General features: G+C 34.2%; 1 protein-coding gene across 12 annotated transcripts in view; it reads left to right on the top strand.

The window, feature by feature from the left end:
- NBEA (neurobeachin) overlaps positions 1-27,608 on the top strand; it is a 730,467-nt gene that overhangs the window by 77,988 nt on the left and 624,871 nt on the right. For all 12 annotated transcript variants that reach the window (XM_047430271.1, NM_001385012.1, XM_006719803.4 and 9 more), the window contains 3 exons: positions 20,676-20,907; positions 24,690-24,790; positions 25,049-25,144. In XM_047430271.1, coding sequence (XP_047286227.1) covers positions 20,703-20,907; positions 24,690-24,790; positions 25,049-25,144 — 402 coding nt within the window. In that variant the 5' untranslated portion in view covers positions 20,676-20,702. The remainder of the gene's footprint in view (positions 1-20,675; positions 20,908-24,689; positions 24,791-25,048; positions 25,145-27,608) is intronic.

A 27,608-nucleotide genomic window follows, 5' to 3' on the forward strand; every position in this document is an offset into this window, starting at 1 on the left:
GGTTATTTGGAATAAGTTTCCACATACTTAGGTATTATTATTCTGATGTATAGTTTTATTTATTTTTAATTCTACCGTGATCAGATATCATACTTTGTATAATTTGTCCTTTAAATTTATTGAGATTTCTTTTGCAATCTCAGATACTCTTAGCTTGATGACTGTTTCTTGTACGCTTTTAGAAGGCTATATTTTCTGCTGTTGGATGGTATGTATGCCCCAATAACAATTTAGTAAAGTTGTTTGATAGTGTTGCTGAAATCTTCTATATTCTTTTGTAAGACAGAGTCTCACTCTGTCACCCAAGCTGGAGGGCGGTGGCACGATCTTGCTTTACTGCAACGTCTGCCTACTGGTTTCAAGCAATTCTCGTGCCTCAGCCTCCGAGTAGCTTGGACTACAGCTGCGTGCCACCACACCCAGCTAATTTTCTTGTATTTTTAGTAGAGACAGGGTTTTGCCATGTTGGCCAGGCTGGTCTCAAACTCCTGACCTCAGTGATCTGCCTTCCTCAGCCTCCCAAAGTGCTATGATTACAGGTATGAGCCACTGTGCCTGGCAAATCTTCTATATTCTTATTGGTGGATTTTTTTTATATGGGGGGAGGTGTCTTTTTAATCTACTGAGACAGGTGTGTTGAAATTTCAACAAAAATTGTAGATTTGTCTATTTCTCTTTCATTTGTATAGGCTTTGCTTCTTGCTTTACAAAGCTATTATTAGATGCATTCACATGTAGGATTGCTGTGCCTTCTTGATGAATTGATTTTTTTTCTTCATATGAGAAGCATCCCTTCTTCCGGTTACTGTTCTTTTTATAAAGTCTAATTTGTCTGATATTAATTTAGCTCTCATTTTTTTGGAGTTTTTTTTTCTGCATAGGGTTATTTTTGTGTCATGGGCTGGCAAACTATTGCCTATCTGCTGGCTGCCTGACTTTATAGTTTTATCGGAATGGTGGCACACCTTGTCTTTACACATTCCCTGTGTCTGCTTTCAAGTTACAGGTGAAGAATTGAGTAGTTATCATGGAGACCAAATGGCTTACAAGTCTAAAATTTTCAGTATGTGGCCTTGCAAGAAAAAGTTTGCTGACCCTCTGCATTTTTTTGTAGACAGATTGTAATGGAGTCTTGCTATATTTCGTACATTCTTGTAATCTCTGCCTTTTGAGTCATAGTTTTAGATTATTTACATTTAATGTAATTATTAATATTGCCACAATTCTGGCAGTTATCATTGCTGTTTATTCCGTATTTATTACATCTGTTTTTCTTTCTCCTTTTCCTATTTTATGTCTGGTTTTGGATTAATTGAATATTTGTTATGACTTAATTTTACACATACTCTTGATTTATTAACTACACTTTTTTTTTTACATGTTTAATGGTTTTTCTAGAGTTTATCATATGCATCATTAACTTAGTGCTCTCTAACTTAAAAGTAATATGCTACTTCAAGTTTAGGGTTAAGAACCTTATAAAAGTACACATATATTTCTCCCGCCATGTCCTTTGTGCTGTTGTTGTTACTGTTTTTATTTCTACGTGCATTATCTTAAGCCCATAGTACATTGTTGTTATTTTTACTTTAGATAGTTATGTTTTAAAGAGATTTCAAACTGTGGAATTTTTTCTAAACAAGATACTTAACATTCTGGTGCTCTTCAGTTTTTTGTGTGGATTTAAAATTTCTGTATGTTTTCTTCTGTCTGATGAAGTTACTTACATTTCTCATAGTAAAAGTCTATGAGCAACAAATTCTGTCTTGTAGTTGGCTGCAGAAGTCTTTTTTTGCTTTCATTTATGAAATAGATTAGGATTTTTACTTGTTAGACTAAGAGAATTTAAAAGTGTATAGTCGTTTGGCCATTAACACTTCATTTTTAACTCATTTTACTTGTCACTTGACTACTGGCAGTCAGGTATCCTTACTATATCTATTGTTATAGACATATAAAGCCATTATAAAGGTGGTTATACAGCTTTTGAAAAATTGCGTGTTGCTTTAAATATATTTGAAAGATGTATTTTCAAGTAGGCACTTTATGATAGTCACTCCCTTTGTTTTCCCTTCCCTAGAGTTTTTATAGACTGTATTTGTAGCAGCATTTGATATACTCTTGGGTACAGTTATTTCTATAACACAGGAAATTGCCAATATGAATTACTTGAGAGAGGACCAGTGTAAAAGAAATAGGAAGCAAATAAGTAATTTTCTATTTTACTTGCCTTTGTTTCTTAGCTGGGGTACAGGGTCATTAATGTTTATTATGTTCATGTGTAAATTATAAGTATTTTTCTGTTATTTACTAAACAATTATCTAAAATTCATTTATTATACATGTTGATGGGGGCAGATCTTAAAGGTTAAATGCTTGGTGGAGATAAATATATATGTCTTGGGCATGGTTTCTCTGGTATTCATATATTTATTTATGGTATTGAGAAGACATGGATTTAAATTCTGATGCTAACACTAGCTTTGGGATCTTGGGCTGGTTATTTAATGTATGCCAACCTCAGTTTCCTCATTTGAGACACCCATTGCACAGAATTTTGAGAATTAAATGAGGCTATACACATAAATTACTCAGCATGTGATAAATGTTCACAAAATGGTGATTCTTAATTATGTTTCTGCTTACATTTTTATCTCTGTATAATTTCATATAGCTTTATCTAGAAGAAGATTTATGTTTTAGAAATTAATAACTCAAGAGCTTTATAATATAGATTGTGCCTACTTTGAAAAATAATTTGAATTGGCTTACAGTGAAAGATAGCAGTATACTAAAGGAAGGAAAGCAAAAACTAGTCAGGAAGACAGAATAAAGAAAGGAGATAATGAAGACAAATATAGTTATCAAAATTTGATCCTTAATTTTTAATTTCCTGGAAACCAAGGCTAAAAGGATAATATGGTGGCTTACACTATTCTTATTGTATATTAAAAGAAAGCATACTAGTTCATTAAGGTGCTTAACATTTTCCCCCAGATTTTATGATAAGAAAAATGTATTTCTTTATAAAGGGACACTGTCAGTGTAACTGATGGGAGAAGTCACCTACAGGTCAGATGCCTAAGGAGATGAGAAATTATACTACTGATCTCATACTATATTCTTAACTTGTTTATATTTTAAAGGGCTTTCATACTTTTTTCAATTTTTATCTTTGTGTCCTGTATAAGTTATATTAAATATAATTTATAGTAGAGCTATAGTAGATCCTATAAAAGTATGCGATCATAGAGGAGGGTAGTATTAATTTTGAAAAGAAATGTTTCAGATGATCTCATCAAGGAGGTGGAAGTTAAGTTGGGCCTTGAAGACATTACTAAGGTTTAGAGAGACAAAAGTACGTACATCTGTGTGTGTATGTAAATATAGTTACCTATACAAAAGAAAAAGTGTGAGTAAAAACAAGGAAATATAGAATAATGCAGTGGTCACAAAGTAGAACATGGCAGAAGTGAGCTTAGGAAGACTGGGCAGGTCAGATCTTGAAGGATCATGAATGCTATTAAGAAATTTGGTCTTTCTTTAGAAAATCGCAAGGCTCTTTTTCTTCCACCTTTTATTTTAGGTTTGGGGGTGCATGCGCAGGTTTGTTACGTGGGTAAATTGTGTGTCTTTGGGGGTTGGTGTACAAGTGATTTTATTACCCATGTGGTGAGCATAGCACCCACTAGGTAGTTTTTCAACCCTTGTGCACCTCCCATGCTCCACTCTCAGGTAGGCCCTGGTGTCTGTTGTTCCCCTTTTATGTCCACATGCACTCCATGTTTAGCTCCCACTTACAGGTTACTTCCATTTTCTGATGGACTTAAAAGTGGGAGCTTATTTGTGTTCATGTGATAATTTGCTTAGGATAATAGCCTCTAGCTGCAACCATGTTGTTGCAAAGGATGTGATTTTTTTTTGTTATGGCTGCATAGTATTCCATGGTGTATATGCACCACATTTCTTTATCCAGCCCACTGTTGATGAGCACTGCATTGATTGCATGCCTTTGCTATTGTGAATAGTGCTGCGATGAACATACAAGTGCGTGTTGCTTTTTGGTAAAACAATTTTTATTCCTTTTGATGTATACCCAGTAATGGGATTGCTGGGTCAGAGGGTAATTTTGGGCCCGGCGTGGTGGCTCATGCCTGTAATCTCAGCACCTTGGAAGGCCAAGGCAGATGGATCACCCGAAGTCAAGAGTTCAAGACCAGCCAGACCAACCTGGCGAAACTTTGTCTCCACTGAAAAAAAAACAAAACAAAAATTAGCCAGGTGTGGTGGTACACACCTGTAGTCCCAGTTACTTGGGAGGCTGGGGCTGGAGAATTATTTGAACCTGATAGGCGGAGTTTGCAGTGAGCTGAGATTGTACCACTGCACTCCAGCCTGAGTGACAGAGCAAAACTCTGTCTCAAAATAAATAAAATAAAATAACATAAAATAAAATAAAAGTAGTTTTGTTTTAAGTCCTTTGGGAAATCTCCAAACTGCTTTCCACAGTAGCTGAACTAATTTACATCCCACCAGCAGTGTATAAACATTTCCTTTTCTCCACAACTTTGCTAACATCTATTATTTGCTGATTTTTGTTTTTAGTAGCCATTCTGACTGGTGTGAGATCTTACCTCATTGTGATTTTGACTTGCATTTCTCTGATGATTAGTTATGCTGAGCAAATATACTTGTTGGCCTCATGTATGTCTTCTTTTGAGAGGTGTCTGTTCGTGTCCTTTGCCCATTTCTTAATGGGGTTATTTGTTTTTTAGTTGTTGATTTGTTCATATTTCTTATAGATTCTAGATATTAGACTTTTTGTAGGATGCATAGTTTGCAAATATTTTCTCCCATTCTTTAGGTTGTCTGCTTATTTTGTTGATAGTTTCTTTTGCTGTGCAGAAGCTCTTTAGTTTAATTAAGTCCCACTTGTTTATTTTTGTTTTTGTTGCAATTGCTTTTGGAGACATCATCTTGAAATCTTTACCAAGACCTATGTCTAGAAGGCTATTTCTTAGATTTTTCTTCTAGGGCTTTTATAGTTTTAGGCCTTACATTTAAGTCTTGAGTTGATTTTTTGTGTATGGTGAAAAGAAGGGGTCCAGTTTCAATCTTCTGTATATGTTTAGCCAGTTACCCCAGCACCATTTATTGAGTTAGGGAGTCCTTTCCTCATTGCTTGTTAATGTTGACTTTGTTGAAGATCAGATGGTTGTAGATGTGTGGCTTTATTTCTGGGTTGTCTAACCTGTTCCATTGGTCTGTGTGTCTGTTTTTGTATGAGTACCTGGTTACTGTTGCCTTGTAGTACGGTTTGAAGTTGAGTAGTGTAATGCCTCTGGTTTTCTTCTTTTTTTAATGCCTGTGACGTCTTTGTTTTAGACTGAGAGCTCTAGTGGGAGAGTGATGAATTGAATAAAAGAGATGTCTCATCCTTTTATCTCTCACTAGTCTCACTTGTCTCTCTTACTAGTCTCACTTGTCTCTCACTAGTTTATTTTGCTATCGCTTACATTTTCTTCTCCATCTTCATTTTGTTTTTTACAGACTCAGGTTATTATATTAGGTTATTCTAATGATCAGTGAGAGGTTCTTTTCTGTTTTAATCTGTTTTACATACTACTGACATGCTGAGTTGTTTGGAAAAAATTTTAATTAGCTCCTTATTCCTATTCTAAGTGAACAAATTCTTTTGCATTTTGATTTTTTTTTTCTTGAAGTCTGATATAATTTGGCTCTGTGTCCCAACCCAAGTCTCACCTTGAATTGTAATAATCTCCACATGTCAAGGACAGGACCAGGTGGAGATAATTGAATCATGGGGACAGTTTCCTCCATGCTGTTCTCATGATAGTGAGTGAGTCTTATGAGATCTGATGGTTTCATAAGCATCTGGCATTTCCCCTGCTTGCCCTCATTCTGTCTCCTGCTGCCCTGTGAAGAGATGCCTTCTGCCATAAGTGTAAGTTTCCTGAGGCCTCCCCAGCCATGTGGAACTGTGAGTCAATTAAACCTCTTTTCTTTATAAATTGCCCAGTCTCAGGTATTTCTTCATAGCAGTGTGAGAACAGACTAATATAGAGCCTCCTTGTAATCTCACTGTATTTCTCTGCTTTCTGTTTGCTGACTGTTCCCTGCTTTGTTTAGCTAGTGTGTTCACTGCTCTTTATGTTTTATATCTCAGTTTTTTCTCTAGTATGGGGCACTTTCTGTTTTCAAATGCATGGCAATATCTTTCATAGTTATCCATACCCATTGCAAATCTCATCTTTTCATGAAGATGTATTTTATTGGACTGCTATTGTACTATCCTCTTTTGTTTCTGAACTGTTGGTTAATACATTTTAGCAAATGATTGTTCCATAATTGTTTTATATATTCTTTCAATTGGCCAGCTAGATTGTTAGCTTCTAAAGCAGCACTACCAATAGAAATATAAAATGAGCCAGACATAGTTTTAAATTTTCTAGTAGCCACATTTAAAAATCAAAAGAAACACATAAAATTAACATTAATAATATATTATATTAAACTCAGTATATCTGCTACTTTGGTGGTTAGCTGATATTTTGACAGTTACCTACCTAAAATGCCAAGATAGAGAAGTATTCTATTACTACAAATATAGTCACACCCATCCTCTTACCCTCATAACCCTAACTCTTGGTAACTACTACTCTCTTTTCTGTCTTTATTATGTTGTCATTTAGAGAATGTTCCATAAATAGAATCGTATTTTATGTGATCTTTGGAGACTGCTTTTCTTCACTCAACATAATGTCTGTGATATTTATCCAGGTTGTTGTGTGTATTGACAGTTGGTTCCTTTTTATTGCTGAGTAGTATTCCATGGTATGGACTTTCCACAGTTCATTTAGCCATGTACTTTTTGGGAGGGCATCTAGTTGTTTCTACTTTATGGCTATTACAAATAAAGCTGCTATTAACAATTATGTACAGGTTTTGTTGTAGCTATGTTTCCGTTTCCCTAGGATAAATTCCCAGTAGTGAAATTACTTGATAATATGCTAACTGTATGTTTAGTTTTGTAATATACTGCCAAACTATTTTCAGAGTGATTGTACCATTTTATATCCTTACAAGCAATTTATGACAGATCCACTTTTTTTTTTTTGCATCCACACCAGCACTTGCTGTTACTACTGTTTTCTGTTTTAACTGTTCTGATATATATGCAGGGATAACTCTTTGTGCCATCCATAGATCCTCTTTGATCAAATGCGTGTTCATGTTTTCTGCCCATTTTCTGATTCAATGGCCAGCTTCTTTACTGTTGATTTCTGTTACATTCTAGATGAGTCCTTTATCAGATATGTGGTTTACAAATACTTTCTTCCAGTCTGTAGCTTATATTTTCAACTTTTTAACATGATCTTTCTCAGAGCAAAAGTTTTTATTTTTATGAAGTCCAATTTATTAATGTTATCTTGAATGGATCCTGCTTTTGGGGTCATGTCTAAAAACTTTTAGCCAGGCTCTAGGTCCTGAATATTTTCTGCTATGTTATCTTCTAAAAGTTTTATATTTTACATTTAAACTATGATTAATTATGAGTTAATTTTTATAAAAGATATGAAATATCTTATAGGTGGAGGTTCATGTTTTTTGGCCTGTTGATAACCAGTTGCTCTGACATTGTTTGCTAAAAAGGTTGTTCATCCTCCATTTAATTGCTTTTGTATCTTTTTTGAGAATAACTTGTTGATAATCATTTAGGGCTGTTTCTGGGTTCTCGCTTATGCTTCATGATCTATGTGTCTATCAACTCACCAGTGCTACAGGGTCTTGAATTATTATAGCAAGTCTTAAAATTAGAGAGTGATTCCTCCCACTTTATTTTTGTTTGTTCAAGAAAAAATTTAAGGTATTGTAATTCCTTTGCCTTTCATATAAAGTTCAGAATTATCTTGTTTACATCTACTAAAAATATTTCCGGGATTTATAGAAAATGCATTAAACTTATATGTTAATTTGAGGAGAGTTGATATCTTTATTATGTTGAATATTCCATGAACATAGTATGTTTCTATATTTATTTAGGTCTTTGATTTCTTTCATCAGTGATTTGTTGTTAAGAATGATAGTCTTGTACATAGTTTGTTAAATTTACATAGACAATTAATTTTTTAGTGACAGTAAATGGTATTTTAAAGTTTCTGTTTCCACATGTTCCCTGATAGTATATAGAAATAGAATTGACTTTTGTATGTTGATCCTGTTACCTAGCTAAACTCACTGAATGGTTACAGAGATGTTTTCCTAGATTCCTTGGTGATTTCTTTAGGCCGGTTCATGTCATATGCAGATGGAACAGTTTTATTTCTTCCTTTTAGATCTCTGTATCTTTTATTTCCTTTGTTTGCCTTATTACTCTGCATAGAAATTCCAGTACTGTGTTGAATAGCAGTGGTTGTACAACTGTCAACACTGTCTGCATTCAAAACTTTTTCATCACCCCCTACAGAACCTTTATATTCATTAGGCAATACCCCCACATTTCCCCCTTCCTCATCTTTGGTAACTCTAATATACTTTCTTTCTCTATGAACTTGGCCTGTTTTAGATATTTCATGTAATTGCAGTCATATATTTGCCTTTTTGTGTCTGGTTCATTTCACTTAGCATAATGTTTCAAGATTAATCCATGCTGTAGCATGTATCAGAACTTCATTCATTTTTATGGCTGAATAATATTCCATTGTATGGACTATATTATTAAAAGTTATTATAAATTTTTAATAATTAAGACTGTAGTATTGGGCTTCTTTCTTTTTGTTTCTGCTTATTCATATTCCTTTGTTCAGTTACAGCAATGGTGAGAGGACAATTTTCTCAGAAACTTTTCTTGTCTATTTGACTGTTGAGGGCACAAACAATTAGTCTATAACATTATGTGTTATATATGATATATAACACATATATATGTGTTTATATAATGATATATAAACATTTAGTCTATAACACCATAGTCTATAACACCACTGCTGTGGTGTGGATGGCTGTAATGGGAGTCCAAGAAAAACCATCTTTGTGGGTACTGGGAGGAGTTTCTGGATTAAGTGGTATCTAAATTGATATTTGTAGATTTAATGGAAGTTAACAAATCCAGAGTTTGAGAGGGAACCCTGTATCATGCATAGGGAGTAACACATACAAAGGATTTTCTATGAAGTGAGGGATGGTATTGTAGAAACTTTCCTTATGGCAGTAGCTGGGAATTAGAAAAAACTGAGGCTGGGAGTTAATTTGGGCTTTCTGAAAAGTGTTACCATTTTAGAGTTTATCCAAAATAACAAATTGCAAAGAAATCCAGCAGTTTAACAATTGTTCACTTTGATTTAAATAATGAACATTGAATTATTGCGTATGATCCTAATAATCTAAGATTTCAAATCAAGATATTTAAAGACTCACTCTATACCTAAAACATACACAAAAGGTACTTAAATTGCTAGTATTTATAAACCTCAGTGCTCTTAGAAGACAACATGTTTCCAAGTCAGCATTTTGTATTTCAAAATTTTTATTCAGTAAAGTTTATTTACTTTATGTAAATAAAAGTTACTGCAGTTTAAAAAGCTCAGCTGTGATATTTATTTTACACAAATTCACTTAAGACTGATTCTTGAGTAGCAAGCATCATTGTGGACCACTTCTCTAACAGCGGTAGTACCTTTTAGAATTTTTTGAAGGCCTGGAGGAAAAGAACACCGTTAACTGTGCAAATAGAGTATCACAAAGATGCATTCAGATTTGTAGGATGTCTCAACTGGTTTATCCTTCTCTTTTATATATGGTCACAGTGATTTGACACATCTTTTCGAAGAACAGATTTTTAGTATTTAGCTTTGTTTTTTATTTAGCTTTTTCAGCTTTGCTACATCATTTCCTTTGCTTTTTAAGATGTTTTCTTACGTGTTTTTAAAGTATTTTTATTTGATTTTCTTATATTTGAACCTTCAAAATCTTCTTTCTTGCTTTTAACTTTAACAAATTCTTTTAAATTATGGTCTACTACATGTAGATGTTTCATTTCTTACCCATAAAAATCATTGTTTCCTCATTTTACTCTTCATAGAGCTTTATAAATATCCCCTCTCTTTCTTTCTTTCTTAAATCTACACCTCTGACTTCATAGCAAGTGATTAAGTGCATTTTGTAGTCTATATTAGGATCCTGGATCTACCGCTTACTTATGTGTGACCTTAGTCTTGTTGCTTAACCTCACTTATCTTCAGTTTCTTTCTATGAGGATAATGAAGCCTCACTGTAGTTCTTCATAGGATCGTTAGAGAATTGTTTAAATAATGAAGGTCAACTCTTTTTACTTATTATATGCTTTAGTTGCTAATAAGCAACTCATTACAAGCAAATAAATATTTTCCTAATCTTGGGATGATATTTTCATTCAGCAGTTAGCCTCTTTAACACGAATGTATTAAAAGTTAACAATAAAGGTTATAAAACCATCTCACTGTAGAAAGCATAGGCCCATTACAACATCTGTAGTAAATATTTTTACTGCTTCCGGCAATTAAATCAGAGAGCTAAATGATACATAGAAAGGGGCAATGTGTTTTTGGCTGCGAAAGATGTACACTCAGGCTTCACATAACAGAGCCTGATTGTTAGAATTACATATATTAATTGTTAATTCCTTTCACAGCCGACTCCACCAGCACCCCTGCAATGAGCCCATCTCTGCTATTTACATATGTAATTATTTGGCTCTACCAGACTCTGCTAAAGCAGTTACAACTGGTTTAGGAGATTCATCTAAAAAAATTCTCCAATACTCTACAATTCAAGTGTATACCCTTTATTCTACAAATTTATACAGAGGCCCATAGGCATAAACCTCATTATCGGCTTCTATTGGTTCAATCAATAAGTGTCCGTATTGTTGATTTTCCAACCTTTTGTTTTTATATAGTTTATTTCTCGAGAACCTTTTCTGAGTTACCAATCACTAGTGTACAAGATTCACAGTAGTGACAGACTGAAGTCAGTTGGGCTCATAATAATGAACAAAAAGGAGTTTTATAGTAAGACAATGGTATGGTAAAAAAGTGATGTTTGAGTTGGTTTCAGTAAATGTCCAAGTGATATCTAATAGAGTGTATGATCCATAATAAATTTGATTTTGCTGGAAACATAAGACTTAAGCTTGCTGAATTTCATGATACTTCAGAGGTATTCGATTGGTGACTACTTTTTTTCTTTTTTTTTAATAGCTGGAAGCTGGGGTGGTTAGAGAACTGATAATTGCTAACTTTAACTGAATGCTAACTGTATGTCTCCCATTGTGCCTAAGTACTTAACTCAATTATCTCATTTCATGCTCCCAACAATTTTATTAGACAGGAACTTTTTTTTTCAGGTTTGTAGGCACATGTGAAGGTTTGTTACATAGGTAAACTCATGTCATGGGGGTGTGCTGTACAGATTATTTAATCACTCGGTTATGTATTAAGCCCAGTACCCAATAGTTATCTTTTTTGCTTCTCTCCCTCCTCCCACCCTCCACCTTCAAATAGAACCCAGTGTCTGTTGTTTCCTTCTTTATGTTAGTAAGTTTTCATTATTTAGCTCCCACTTATAAGTGAGAATGTGTGGTATTTGGTTTTCTGTTCCTGCATTAGTTTGCTAACGATAATTAGCCTCCAGCTCCATCCATATCCCCATAAGAGACATGGTATTGTTCCTTTTTATGGCTGCATAGTATTCCATCTGGTATATGTACCACATTTTCTTTATCCATTCTGTCATTGATGGGCATTTAGGTTGATTCCATGCCATTACTATTGTTAATAGTACTACAGTGAACATTTACATGCATGTGTTTTCATAGTAGAATAATTTGTATTCCTCTGGATATATACCCAGTAATGGGATTGCTGGGTCGAAAAGTAGTTTTGCTTTTAGCTGTTTGAGGAATCGCCATACTGCTTTCCACAATGGTAAAACTAATTTACACTCCCACCAACAGCACATAAGTGTTCCCCTTTCTTTACAACTTCACCAGCACCTGTTATTTTTGACTTTTTAATAATAGCCATTCTTCTTGGTATGATATGGTATCTCACTGTTGTTTTGATTTGTATTTCTCTAATGATCAGTTTTATTGAGCTTTTTATTCATAAGCTTGTTGGCCACACTTATGTCTTCTTTTGAAAAGTGTCTGTTCATGTCCTTTGCCCATTTTTTAGTGGGGTTTTTTTTCTCTTGTAAATTTAAGTTCCTTATAGATTATGGATGTTAGACCTTTGTCAGATGCATAGTTTGAAAATATTTTCTTATATTCTGTAGGTTGTCTCTTTACTCCATTGATAGTGTACTCATAGTGTACAAGTGTTCCCTTTTCTTCACATTTTTGCCAGTGTTTATTATGCTTGTCTTTTGAATATAAGACATTTTTAACTGGGGTGAGATGATATCTCATTGTAGTTTTGATTTGAATTTCCCTGATGATCAGTGATGTTGAGTATCTTTCATATGCCCATTTGCCATTTGTATATCTTCTTTTGAGAAATTGCTATTTAAATCTTTTGCTCATCTTGGTTTGGATTATTAGATATTTTCCTATAGAGTTGCTTGAGCTCCATATGTATTCTGGTTATTAATCCGTTGTCAGATGGGTAGTTTGCAAATATTTTCTCCCATTCTCTGGATTGTCTCTTCACTTTGTTGATTGTTTCTTTTGCTGCACAGAAGCTTTTTAACTTAATGTGATTCCATTTGTTCATGTTTGCTTTGGTTGCCTGTGCTTGTGGGGTATTGCTGGTGAAATTTTTGCTCAGACCAGTGCCCTGGAAATTTTCTTCAATGTGTTTTTATAGTAGTTTCATGGTTTAAGGTCTGAGATTTAAGTCTTTAATCCACTTTGATTTGATTTTTGTATATCATGAGAGATAGGGGTTTAGTTTCATTCTTCTGCATACAGATATCCAGTTTTCTCAGCATCATTTATTGAAGAGATTGTCTTTTCCCTAGTGTATGTTCTAGGCACCTTTGCGAAAAATGAGTTCACTGTAGGCATGTGGATTTGTTTCTGGGTTCTCTATTTTGTTACATTGGTCTCTGTGTCTGTTTTTATGCCAGTACCATGCTGTTTTGGTTACTATAGCTCTGTAATATAATTTGAAGTCAGGTAATGTGATTTCTCCAGTTTTGTTCTTTTTGCTTAGGATAGCTTTGGCTATTCTAGGTCTTTTGTGATTCCATATAAATTTGAGCATTGTTTTATCTATTTCTGTGAAGGATGTCATTGGTATTTTGATAGGGATTGCATTGAATCTATAGATTGCTTTGGATAGTGTGGATATTTTAACAATACTGATTCTTTCAATCCATGAACATGGAATATTTTTCTATTTTGGGTGTCCTCTTCAATTTATTTCATCAGTGTTTTATAGTTTTCATTATAGAGATCTTTCACTTCTTGGAGTACATTAACTCCTAGGTATTTAATTTTATGTGTGGCTATTGTAAATGGGATTATTTTTAAATTTCTTTTTCACATTGTTCACTGTTGGCATATAGGAATGCTACTGATTTTTGTATGTTGATTTTGTATCCTGTAACTTTACTGAATTTGTTTATTATTCTAATAGTTTTCTTGTGAAATCTTTAGGTTTTTTTCAGGTATAAGATTCTATCATCCGCAAACAAGGATAATTTGACTTCTTCCTTTCCCATTTGGATACCTTTTTCTAGCTTTCTCTTGTATAATTATGCTAACTGGGACTTCCAGGACTATGTTGAATAACAGTGTTAACCGTGGGTATCCATATCATGTTCCAGATCTTAGAGAAATGACTTTTAGTTTTTCGTTTTTCCCCATTCAGTATGATACTAGCTGTGGGTCTGTAGTATATGCTTTTTGTTGTGTTGAGGTATGTTCCCTCTGTCCTTAGTTTTTTGAGAGTTTTTATCATGAAGGGATGTTGAATTTTATCAAATGCTTCTTTAACATCAGTTGAAATGATCTTGTGGTTTTTCTTCATTCTGCTGATATGATGTATCAGATTGATTGATTTGTATATGTTGAACCGTCCTTGTATCCCAGGGATAAATCCCATTTGATCATGATGGGTGATCTTTCTAATGTATTGTTGAATTTGGTGTGCTATGTTTTTTGTTGAGGATTTTTGCATCAATATTCATCAGAGGTATTGGCCTGTAGTTTTCTTTATTTTATTTTATTTTTTATGTGTCTGTGACTGGTTTTGGTATCCGGGTAATACGGGCCTCATGGAATGAGTTTGGAAGTATTCCTTCCTCCTCCATTTGGAAGTATGCCCTTCTCCTCTATTTTTCAGAATAGTTTGAGTAGGATTAATATTAGTTCTTTAAATGTTTGGTTAGAATTCAGCAGTGAAGTGCTTTTCTTTACTGGGAGACTTTTATTACAACTTCAGTCTTGTAGCTTGTTATTAATCTGTTCAGGTTTTGGATTTCTTCCTGGTTCAATCTTGGTACTTGTATGTGTGGAGCAATTCATCCATTTCTTCTAGATTTTCCAAATAATTTGCGTGTGGTTGCTCACAGTAGCCACTAATGATCCTTTGAATTTTTGTAGTATCAGTTGTAATGTCTCCTTTTTTATTTCTGATTTTATTTATTTGGATCCTCTCTCTTAGTCTGGCTAAAGATTTGTCAATTTTGTTTAGCTTTTCAAAAAATGAACTTTTTGTTTCATTGATCTGTTGTATTGTTTTCTTCATTTCAGTTTTATTTATTTCTGCTCTGATCTTTATTATTTCTTTTCTTCTACTAATTTTGGATTTGGTGTGCTCTTGATCATTTAGTTCTTTAAGGTGCAGCATTTGATTGTCTGTTTGATATTTTTTCTCTTTTTTGATATTGGCACTTATAAACATCCCTCTTAGTACTGCTTTTGTTGTATCCCATAGGTTTTGGTATGTTGTGTTTCTGTTATTATTAGTTTGAAGAAAATTTTCAATTTCCTTCTTAATTTCTTCATTGACCCGCTTGTCATTCAGGAGCATATTGTTTAATTTCCATGTATTTGTATAGTTTCTGAAATTTCTCTTGATGTTTCTAGTTTTATTCCGTTGTTGTCAGAGAAGAGCTTTATATTATTTCATTTTTTTGGAATGTCTCAAGATTTGTTTTGTGACCTAACATATGGTCTGTCTTTTCAGTTGATCCATGTGCTGAGGAAAAGAATGTGTATTCTGCAGCTCCTGGATGAAATCTTCTGTAAATATCTATTAGCTCAATTTGGTCTGTAGTGCAGATGAATTCTGATGTTTCTTTGTTTATTTTCTTTCTGAAAGATGTGTCCAGTGCTGAAAGTGAGGTTTTGAAGTCTCCAGATATTATGGTATTGGAACCTATATTTGTCTTTAGCTGTAATAATATTTCCTTTATATGTCTGGGTGCTCCAGTGTTGGGTGCATATATATTGAAATTGTTATATCCTCTCACTTAATTGACACCCTTATCTTTATATAGTGACCTTCTTTGTCTCTTTTTATAGTTTTTGTCTTGAAATCTCTTTTGTCTGATACAAGTATAGTGACTTCTGCTCTTTTTTTGGTTTTCTTTGGCATGGGATATCTTTTTCCATCTGTTTATTTTCAGTCTTTGTGTGTCTTTATAGGTGAAGTGTGTTTCTTTTAGGCAACAGACCAATAGGTCTTGCTCTTTCATCCATTTAGTTAGTCTGTGTCTTTTGATTGGTGAGTTTAGTGTATTTACATTCAATGTTATTATTAAGTAAGGATGTACTCTTGCCATTTTGTTTTTGGTTTTCTGGTTGTTTTGTGGTCTTCTTTCTTGCATTTCTGTCCTCTAGTGAAGATGATTTTCTCTGGTGATTTAGTTTCTTGATTTTTATTTTTTGTGTGTCCATTGTATAATTTTTGGTTTGAGGTTACCATGAGCCTTGCAAATACTATCTTATCATTCATTATTTTAACCTGATAACATAACACTATTTGCATAAGCAAACAAACAAGCAAAAAGAAAACTAGTAAAAACTTGCCTTAACTTCATTTCCTTGCTTTTTAACTTTTTGTCTGTTTATATCTCATTATACTGCCTATGTCTTGAAAAGTAGTTGTAGTTATTATTTTTGCTTGGTTCATCATTTAGTCTTTCTACTTAGGATAAAAGTAGTTTGCAAACCACAGTAACAGTGTTATAATATTCTGTGTTTTTCTGTGTACTTATATTACCAGTAAGGTTTGTATTTTCAGGTGATCATTTATTGCTTATTAATGCCCTTTTCTTTCTGATTGAAGTACCCCCTTTAGCATTTCTTGTAGGACAGGTCTGGTGTTGATGAAATCCCTTAGCTTTTATTTGTTTGGTAAAGTCTTTATTTCCTCTTCATGTTTGAAGGATATTTTCACTGGATATACTATTCTAGGGTAAAAGGATTTTTCCTTCAGCAATTTAAATATGTCATGCCACTGTCTCCTGGCATATATGGTTTTCACTGAAAAGTCTGCTGCCAGATGTATTGGAGCTCCTTTGTATGTTCTTGTTTCTTTTCTCTTGCAGCTTTTAGGATTCTTACTTTATTCTTGACCTTTGGGCGCTTGATTACTAAATGTCTTGAGGTAGTCTTCTTTGGGTTAAATCTTCTTGGTGTTCTATAACCTTCTTGTACTTGGATGTTTTCTCTAGGTTTGGTTAGTTCTCTGTTATTTGAAGGTTTACTCAGAATAAACTTTCTACACCTATCTGTTTCTTTACCTCCTTTTAAAGGCCAGTACCTCTTAGATTTGCCCTTTTGAGGCTATTCTCTAGATCATGTAGGCATGTGTCATTGGTTTTTATTCTTTTTTCTCCTCTGTGTGTTTTCTAATAGCCTTTCTTCAAGCTCATTAATTCTTTCCTCTGGTTGTTCCAGTCTGCTCTTAAAGGACTTGATGCATTCTTAAGTATGCCAATTGCATTTTTGAACTGCAGAATTTCTGCTTGATTTTTAAAAATTATTTAAATATCTTTGTTCAATTTATCTGATAGAATTCTGAATGCCTTCTCTGTGTTATCTTGAATTTCTTTGAGTTTCCTCAACACAGCTATTTTGAATTCTCTGTGAAAGGTCACACACATATCTTTGTTTCTCCAGGATTGATTCTTGGTGCCTTATTTAGTTCATTTGGTGAGGTCATGTTTTTCTGGATAGTGTTAATGCTAGTAGATGTTCCTCGGTGCCTGGGCATTGAAGAGTTAGGTATTTATTGTACTCTTCATTGCCTGAGCTTATTTATAGCCACCCTTCTTGGGAAGGCTTTCCAGTGACACTGTGATTCTTGCAGACTTGTAGAGGTACTGCCTTGATGGTTTTGGGCAAGATCTGGGATAATTCTCTAGATTACCAGGCAGAATCTCTTGTTCTCTTTCCTTACTTTCTCCCAAGCACACAGAGTCTCTCTCTCTTTCTGTTCTGAGACACCTAAAGCTGGGGCTGGTATGACGTATGGCACAAGCACTCCTATGACCACCACCACCATGGCTGTGCTGGGTCACACCTGAAGCAAGCACAGTGCTGGGTCTTGCCCAAGGCCTGCCTTAATCGCTCCTTGGCTATAGCCTATGTTCACTCAAGGCCCTAGGGCTCTACAATTAGCAAGTAACAAAGCCAGCTGGGCCTGTGTCCTTCTCTTCAGGGTGGCAAAGTCCCCCTGGCCACTAGTGGGTCCAGAGATGCCATATAGGAGTCTGGGACTAGAGTCTTAGAAATCTTAGAAACCTTAGAAATCTACCTGGCATTCTGTTGTATTGTGGCTGAGCTGGCACTCCAACCACAAGACACAGTCCTTCCCCTTTTCCACTTTTCCCCTTTTCCCCTTTCCAAAGGCTGAGGAGCCTCACCCCTTAGCCACTGCCACTCCTGGCCATGAGGAGTACTGCCAGAGTACCACCGACATTCCCTTAAGGACCAAGGGCTCTTCTATCAGCTTGTGGTGAATGCTGCCTGGCCTGGACTCAACCATCAGGGCAGTAGGTTCCCCTTTGGCTCAGGGCAGGTCTAGAAATGCTGTCCAATAGTCAAGTCCTAGAATTGGGGACCCCAAGAGCCCACTTGGTGCTCTACCCTACTGTAGTGTTGTTGGTACCTAAGATACAAGACAAAGTCCCCTTTACTCTTCTGTTTTTATCAAGCGGAAGGGGTTTTGCCCCATAGCCACCACAGCTGGTAATGTGCATAGTCTCACCTGAAGCCAACAAGTCTCAGAAACTCACCAAGGCCCTCAGCGTAGTACCTTGGTATCACTGCTGGTTATTCAGGACCCAAGGGCTCTTCAGTTAGCACATGATGAATGCTGCCTAGACTGGGTCCTTTCCTTCAAGGCAGTGGGTTTCCTTCTGGCCCAGGGTGTATCTAGAAATGTCATCCCAGAGCTAGAGCCTGGAACAAGGGCCTCATGACCTCAGGGTGCCCTATTCTTCTGTGGCAGAACTGGTAAACAAGATGCAAGACAAACTCCTCCCCACTCTTCCCTCTCCTCTTCTCAAGTAGAAGGAAGGGGTTTCTTTTGTATCCACAAGCTGTGCAGTCTGGGGTTAGGGGAGGGGTGATGCCAGCATTCCCTTAGCTGCCCCAGCTGGTATCTCAGTGTGTCCATGCCACTTTAGTCCACTGTGTTTGGGCCTAGTTCAGCACTAGGACTTACCTATGAGGTACAGTCCTTATGGCCTAGACTGCCTTTCAAGTTTACTTAAACACCAAGAGCACTCTGGCCTTTGGTACTGAGGTTTTCAGGCACTCAGGTTTGGACTGCTGGTATCAGTGATTCCCCTCTGGCTAGGGCTGGTTGAGATGCCTTCTTGTGGGTGGACATCAGCTTAGTTTGGTCAGGTTTTCCTTTATGCTATAGCAAGATGGCCCCAGGTTCAGTGCCTCACAATTGCTCTGTTCTCCCTTCACCAGCACCCAGAGATGCTCTTGGCACCAAGCCATGCTGCTGGAGTCAGGGAGGGGTGGCGTCAGAGACTCAGAACTGTTTTCTATCTTTTCAGTGTCTCTTTCAGTGATACGAGGTTAAAACCAGGTTCTGTGGGTGCTCACATGATTTTTAGCTCTTATGAAGAAGCTTTTTTCTGTGTAGTTGTTTGTTAACTTAGTGTCCTTGCGGTAGGGTTAGAGGGACGATCTGTGGAGTTTTCTGTTCTGCCATCTTGCCTCACCTCCCTCCTAAAAAATATTCTTATATGAGATTGTAATGTTTATATGAACTTGCATGAAGACAGAATTCTTGTGTTTGGATCCTGAGTCTCTTACCCATTTTGTAACATTCTTCAACATACTTTTAACTCTGTGCCTATGATTCCTTATCTGTAAAATGAAGATAATAATAGTGTCATAATAGATGTAAAACATGTAAAACAATACTAAATGCCATGTAAGGTTAAGTGGTGGTATTATTACTATTTATCCTATTTACATCATATTCTGTGGTCATCTGTCAGTATTTGTGAATACCTTTCAGTGACAGGAAATTAATTTTACTTCTTGATCCTAATTCTACTCCCTGTCTGTTCCTAATCTTGTTTTGCCTTTGCTTCCTCTTTTCTCATCTACTCATATTTTATGTCTTCCTTCATGCTTTATATAACTTTTAGCCACCTTCAATGTTTTTTGGAATAAAGTAATGTATGCATACATACATATACATCTTTGTTCCTAGAATTTAGCACTGTTAGTGCATGGTTTTTATCTTGGACATTCATATATTCTAGTTCCAGAACAGTAACTTCTAGAACTTAATAATTTATTAAGGAATCAATGACTTCAAATTTGTCAGACGTTGTATATGATTATTATTTTATTCCTAAATCTTATCGTTCTTTAGACCAAAAGGATATCCAGTTTGACAGTGTTCTTTTTTAAGAATGATGCTTTTAACTGAATATAATAGTTCCTATGGGATTCGATCAACAGAGAGTAAAGAGTGTTATTATGTTATTTTATTCTATGTGTATTTGTCTATTACTGTACTTAAAATACCAAATGGGAGGGGCAGTATGACTTTGGACTCATTTGCCATAATGCTGAAGTTAAATGTGTTGCTGTTAAATCAGCTTTCTTTTACCCAATTCACATTTGTGCTTTAAAAAAAAAAGCATTACAAGACCTTGCATACTTCTGTTCAACTTATTTTTTAACATTCATTTCATTATTTCAATATTTCTTATAAGTTGTATGAGTTTCATATTTCTTTATCTTCTATATATTGAGATTATGCCCCAGTTATATCTCTTTGTCTGTAAGACTAGTAATGTCAAAAAAAATGAATTTCATGTCTTAAAATTTATCCTTAGTAAATTCTGTATTTTCTGTTGATTATCCCTTTTAAAGGCCAAACCCTCTTTTTAGGAATTTTTCCTGAATCTCACTCAGGAATCACATGCTGTAGTTTGCTCTATTTTACTAGATTTGAAATCACCCTTTTCCATTTATGTGAAAATTAGATTTCTGTTTGCTAGTTTCGATGCTCACAATGCCTTTCACTTATTTGTAGCTCTTATACTTTTGATCAAAATTAATTTTATACCAGAATCCTTGAAATTTTTTAGAGTAGTAGCTTTGAATTCTTGTTATTATTTCATTCTACTGTCATCGATAACCTCCCATGTTAACACTATTGTTTCTTTCTGTTTACTTTCAGCTGGTTGGTGGAGAATTTGACTTGGAGATGAACTTTATTATCCAGGATGCTGAGAGTATAACATGTATGACAGAGCTTTTGGAGCACTGTGATGTAACATGTCAAGCAGAAATATGGAGCATGTTTACAGCCATTCTACGAAAAAGTGTTCGGAATTTACAGACTAGCACAGAAGTTGGGCTAATTGAACAAGTATTGCTGAAAATGAGTGCTGTAGATGACATGATAGCAGGTATGGGGTTGTCTGACAGGAAAGTATAACTTAAATGTTTATAAAGTTTCACATACTTCTCTTTATATTCTATAGGTAATGTAGATTTGTTGACATTACTTTGATTTAAAATAAATGGAAATGTGTGGAAATTTTACTTTTTATATTAATGGAAAACCTGAAGAGTGCAAGAAGAAAAACATACTTACTATAGTAGACAAACATAATTACTAATGTTGTTTTCTAAATTTTAGAAAATCTCAGTACCATGGAGTGCTATGAAATCTATCAGAAAAATAAACATTATTTTTATGTAGTATTTCATTAAGCTTTTACATAATTAAAATACCACAATAGGTATTACAGTTCTGTATAATGAGCATTTTACCAAATTCTTCTAGTTCTGTGCCCCTCAATCTGGCATATATGCAACTATGACAGGAGGTACTAAAAGCCTTATATAAGCATGGTGTATCTTTTGGATATGTCCATTTTGGAAGAAACTTTTGTATTAAAATAAACTAATATATTATGGGCTAGAACATAAAATTCACCAAGAATTTCAAGATAAAAATACTAATGTTTTGCTTGTTTGGGTGATTTCAAACAATAACTTTGAAATCTATAATTTTTTCACCACCAACCGTTTACTACCTTGCATGCTCATTCTCCTGTGTGGCTAGATGCATTTCAGAAAAGTGTTTTGAATATTATTCCAGAGCAAATATCATTCCAGAAAATAAGTTTAAAGTTTAAAATGTTTATTTTTTGTAAGCCACGAATCTTCAGCCTAAGTATCTTCTGACATAAAAGCATTTTCATAATTATAAAAGTGCTGATATTACCCTCCACAGTATTATACCTGATCCTGGAAAGTAGTTCAGATACCAGAGAATACTCTTTTAACATTTTGGCTTATGCATTTCATTATTTTTAAAATTTATGGAACAAAACATTAAACAAGAATGGAATGAAAAATGGCTTAAAAAAGAATGCAGAATTGCAAAAAGCATGCTTTGAATTTAAATATTTCAAAAAATTTGATTTTCTGAGAAAATATATTAAAAATCATATCTAATTACCTTCAGGGTGGCATATATCTTTTTTTTAGAATGATTTAGCAGTCCCTGTATTGGGTACTGATGGCTAACTTGATGAAAAATGAGATTCAGACATCTATTTCTTAAAATACCTTTTTAATATTAATAGTAGCATTTCTATAAATTCTAGAGGTACTTAATAGAAATTTATTAATATAGACTTACATGTACACATGTTTTATAGAATATCATATGATCTTTTAATTCTTACATCTGAGCTTAAGCTCTTAATTTTTTTTTTGTAAATTGGCTGCTACTCTATGGAGTGCAGTTTAGAGAATGAGCCAAAATTACATGCATAGTAGTTTACTGGTACATAATTCATCAGCACTGAAATGTGAAAGTGACAGTGAAGATGATTGTACCATAGAAGTTCATATCTTGACATTGCTGTTACATAAAGCTCCTTAATTCTTTTATCTTTTTCTCAGTAATAATATTAATAACAAAATTTTTCACTTTTTGTAATTTCTAGCATTTCCCTTCAAAAGAGCTTGATGATGGAAGGATATGAGAAAAGAGAATAAATGTCAGAAAAATACCTCTGTCTTACTTTTTAATAGAGAAATTAAACTTTACATATTATACTAAGGAAGAACCAGTAGCCACTAAAACACGACTAACAGTTCATATCTGAATGTATTGTAGTATGTTAAATTCAATGGGGTACTTTTTATTTAATAATGTAGTAAAAGTGTCACTAAAAGGTGGCTAAATTAAACATTTTATAACAAATTGATGAGAAAATTTCTTGGTCTTAGTATTTTTTCTTTTAAAAAAAATCATTTCTAATTACTTTCAATCTTGTTCTCCAGCAAAGAAGACCGTCTATAATAAAATTAAACTGAGCTGCTTGGTTGTGTTACATATACAATATATAAGTAATTCGTATTTTTTCTCTTTTAAAAATGATTTCTGATTACTTTTAATCTTGTTCTCCAGAAAAGACCTTCTGTAATAGAATTAAACTGAGCTGCTTGGTTGTGTTACATATACAATATGCAAGGAATTTTTAAAAATTTCTAATTAAATACAAATTTAATAGATTACTTTTTGTGACATACATGGGAGATAAGATAAAGATGAAGTCTTGTATAACCTGAAAAAATTTAAACGTTGCAAATATTTTTTAAAGTTTTTTTAAAAGTATTTTATGTAAACCTTTAAGAAATCTTCTGTAAAGGTTGCCATTGCAGCTAATTGCTTAAAAATACTTCATATTATAGCAACATTAAATGGACTAAGAAAAAAATACTTCATATTAGCTTAGGATTTTTATAGTACTTAAATTTTTTTGTAGAAACACACTTTTTGACCTATATGTACTAATATTTTAATACATTTTTGTTGCTTCAGTGATGACATGTTTTATTTCATTAAAATATCACTCTGAAAGTGGCATATCCACTGTCACAATTTTGTCATAGAGATTATTGTGTGTTAAATAAAATTATTTAATTATTAATTGATTATTAATTGATGAAGATAAGCATACTAAGTTTCCATTTTGAAATATACAAATGACAAATATTTTTTAAAGTCTCAAATTCCAGTTATTAATCTGTGATATGATATTGAATAATATACATTATATATCAGTACTAAGTATTTCAGCTTACCCTAACCTAACCTTTTTATTAATTGATTATAAGCTTTTAGAATATATATGTGTATTGCTTTGTAATAACCTTTGTAGTATGTTTCATTCTTAAGAAGTGCTTTAGAAATTGAGAAAACGAAGTATAAATGTTTAGATGTTCAATTTCTTGCAAAGAACAATGACAGAAAAAGTATTAATCACAATATGTAGAGAAAGCAATCAGAGACAAGAGATTAAATGTATAATTTTTCTCATTATTAGGTGTGCTGGTGTGTCTGTTATATGCACATAAACACTCACACTAGCATGATGGATACCACTATTAATGTGTTTAAATTACACTTCTACTTATAGACTAGTGTGTAAGAGTGAGGGTTCTGAAGCTATACTGTCTGGGTTTGAATCCTGATTCTACCACTTGCTAGGTCTATGTTCTTGGGCAATGGGAATAAATTATCTGTGCCACAATTTGCTCATTTTAAAAGGGGATAATAATGGTACTTACCTCATAGGCTTGTTAGGAGGATTTGTGAGGTTAGTATCTGTAAACCACTTGGAATAATGTTTCACTTGGAGTAAGTGGTAAAAATTGCTAATGGGCCAAGGAATATACCAAGAATATATTAAGAATAGATAATTCTGAAAGACAATATAGTCAGCTGTTACTTTTTCATTTGACAATAACCAGTTTGCAATTTTAAATCTTTGTACATTTGCATATTTTACCTACCTTTCCCTGCACACAGCAGGCTGTGTTGTGGTGTGTGTGTGTGTGTGTGTGTGTGTGTGTGTGTGTGTGTGTTCTGGGAATATGTAAAATCTATTTTACATTTCTGCTAAGACAGCTTAATTGCGGTGGTAATTTAATGGGGGAAAATCATGTAATTCAAATAAATTCTTTTGGTTATTTAATGAGTTAAAAATTGTTAATTGGAATGGCTATTCATGAGGACATTTAGCTGTATTAGATACATATATATATATATAGAGAGAGAGAGAGAGAGAGAGATAACAATGATAACTTTTTTCTTTCAAAAAGTATATTACCTTGACAGATGGCAGCTCATGACTAGAGTTCAGAATAACTTTATTTTCCTTTGAAGATCTTCTAGTTGATATGTTGGGGGTTCTTGCCAGCTACAGCATCACTGTCAAGGAGTTGAAGCTTTTGTTCAGCATGCTTCGAGGAGAAAGTGGAATCTGGGTAAGCTGTGGTCGGAGGGAAAGGTATTCAGTATCAGTCCATTAATACTTAATGTTCAAAAGTTTGTCTCTAGAGAGCTATATACTTGAATTTATAATGGAAATTGCTTTCTTCTTAAATGATTTAGTAAATGTTTTGTAAATGATTTAAAATTAATTTTTCTCTCTAGTTAGAAAACAGTCCAATGGGTAACATGGTATATTAAGTATGATTGCTAAATTTGTACAATGACATTTCTTTCTTTTATTGTTTCCCCAGCCAAGACATGCAGTAAAATTATTATCAGTTCTTAATCAGATGCCACAGAGACACGGTCCTGATACTTTTTTCAATTTCCCTGGTTGTAGCGCTGCGGTAAGTTTTAAATACATGTGCTGATTTTTATTTATTTATTTTTAGGTCACCTTTAGTAAGGTTTAACTTACATATAATAAAATTTACCAGTTTAGAAAGCACAACTTGATGAGTTTGGAAGTCATACAACCACTACTATATAATGATTTGAACAATTTCATCACTCCCCAAAATTCCCTTGTGCCTGTTGGAAGATATTCCCCTCTACCCATCCCCACTCCTTACTACTTCTGATTTACTTTGTATTCCTATAGTTTTGCCTTTTCTAGATTGTCATATAAATAAAATCATACAGTATACAGTGTTTTTTGTTTTGTTTTGTTTTGTTTTGTTTTGTTTTGTGTTTTTGACGGAGGCTTGCTGTCACCCAGGCTGGAGTTCAGTGGCGTGATCTTGGCTCACTGCAACCTCTGCCTCCCGGGTTCAAGCAATTCTCCTGCCTCAGCCTCCCAAGTAGCTGGTATTACAGACACCCGCCACCATGCCCAGCTAATTTTTGTATTTTTAGTAGAGACAGGTTTCACCATGTTGGCCAGGCTGCTCTCAAACTCCTAACCTCCTGTTTGCCCGCCTAGGCCTCCCAAAGTGCTGGGGTTACAGGTGTGAGCCACTGCACCCGGCCTGGTATATAGTCTTTTGTGTCAGGCTTCTTTCACTTCCCGTGATGCTTTTGAGATTTTTCCATGTTGTAGTTTTAATTACTGTTTTATTCTGTTCTCTCTTTTTTTGAGTAGTATGGCATTTTATGGATATACCACAGTTTATCTATCCTATCCATTCACTAGTTGATGGACTTCTGGGTTTCTAGTTTTTGGCTGTTATAAATAAAATTGCTGTGAACATTTGAGCACAGGTCTTTCTATGGACATATGTTTTCTTATCTTTCGATTAAATACCTGAGTGAGATTGCTGGATTTTATGGTAACTGCCTGTTTACTTTCATGAGAAACTGTCTACTCGTTTTCTGTATTAGAACATTGTACATTCCTATAAGCAGTGTATGAGAGTCCCACTTGATCTGCATCCTGAACATTTTCAGTCTTTTAAATTTGAGGCATTTAAATGGTTATGTACAGTAGTCCCGCCTTATCCATGGGGTATATATGTTCTAAGACTGTCTCAGTGGATACCTGAAACTGCGGATGGTACTGAACCATCTATATAATACATACTATGGTTTTTTCCTCTACATACATACCTGTGATAAGGTTTAAATTACTAACTGCACACAGTAAGAGATTAACAACAATAATAAAATATAACAATTATAGCAATATATTATAGTAAAACTTTTGTGAGTGTTGTGTCTCCCTGCCTCCCCTCCTTCTTTGTCTCTCTCTCAAAATATCTTAATGTACTGTACTCACCTGTTTTTGGACTGTGGTTGACCATGGGTAACTGAAACTATGAAACCACAGATAAGAGGGGATCTACTGTAGTGGTACCTCATCATAGTTTTAATTTTGCATTTTATTCATGACTGATGATGATGAGCATTTTTTCATGTGTTTATTGGCCATTCTTATGTCTTCATTTGTGATGTTTCTGTTCACATCTTCCGTTCATTTAAAAAATTCGGTTGTTTTTCTTATTATCGTAAGAGTTCATTATATATTTGGAATGTAAGTTCATCTATTAGATCAAGGTAAAATATTCCCTGTTTTAAAAAGTCAATAAAAGTTATATATTATTTGATAATAAAATGTTATTTATATTGTATGATAATAAAACTGCCTGAACTAATTGCTTAAATACTAAAATCCGAAAGGTTAGTATAGGGTTTAACTCTTCATTTGAAATTGTGTGTGTGTGTGTGTGTGTGTGTGTATTTTTTTTAACAGCAAGCACTTAGAAATCTTTGACTACTTTGAGATTATTTATTAGCCACCTGCATCTTCAGTCATTATGCTTGGAGTAGATTACATTCCTTACTCTTGAAGAACTCTGATGGCTAGATATGCAAATACAGCTTGCTACAATAAGAGTTATAAATGATACTGTAGATTTAGGTATGGGAACAAAACTATGGGAACACAATTGAAAAGAGAAACCATGCTAGGTTGAAGTCCAGAAAAGCTTCACAGATGAGGAAACATATTAGTCTGCTATTAAAGAATAAATGAGATTTTGTTAGAAGGAAGAATGATTTGGATAGAAGCAACATGATGTATAGGAAGAGGAACTGTAAAAGAACTAGTGGAATAGCTGGTATATTTAGATGTACTTTGGAATGTGGGGTTGGGTAGTAGAGGAGGATAAAATCAGAAGGGTTTGTTGGAGCCATAGCACGTGGGAAGTCCTGTATAACATGAAGAAATTTAAATTTTATTCTGAATGCAGAAGATTTTTGACATGGAAGGTCCGTGTTGTATTTGAGAAAGGCCATTATCAGCAACATGAAAGATCTATTTGAGGATATCTTTTATGTAGAATTTTGATAAAGTCTAGGAAAATAAATAAATAC

The sequence above is a fragment of the Homo sapiens genome, chromosome 13 (assembly GCF_000001405.40).
Source record: "Homo sapiens chromosome 13, GRCh38.p14 Primary Assembly".
Classification (NCBI taxonomy): domain Eukaryota; kingdom Metazoa; phylum Chordata; class Mammalia; order Primates; family Hominidae; genus Homo; species Homo sapiens.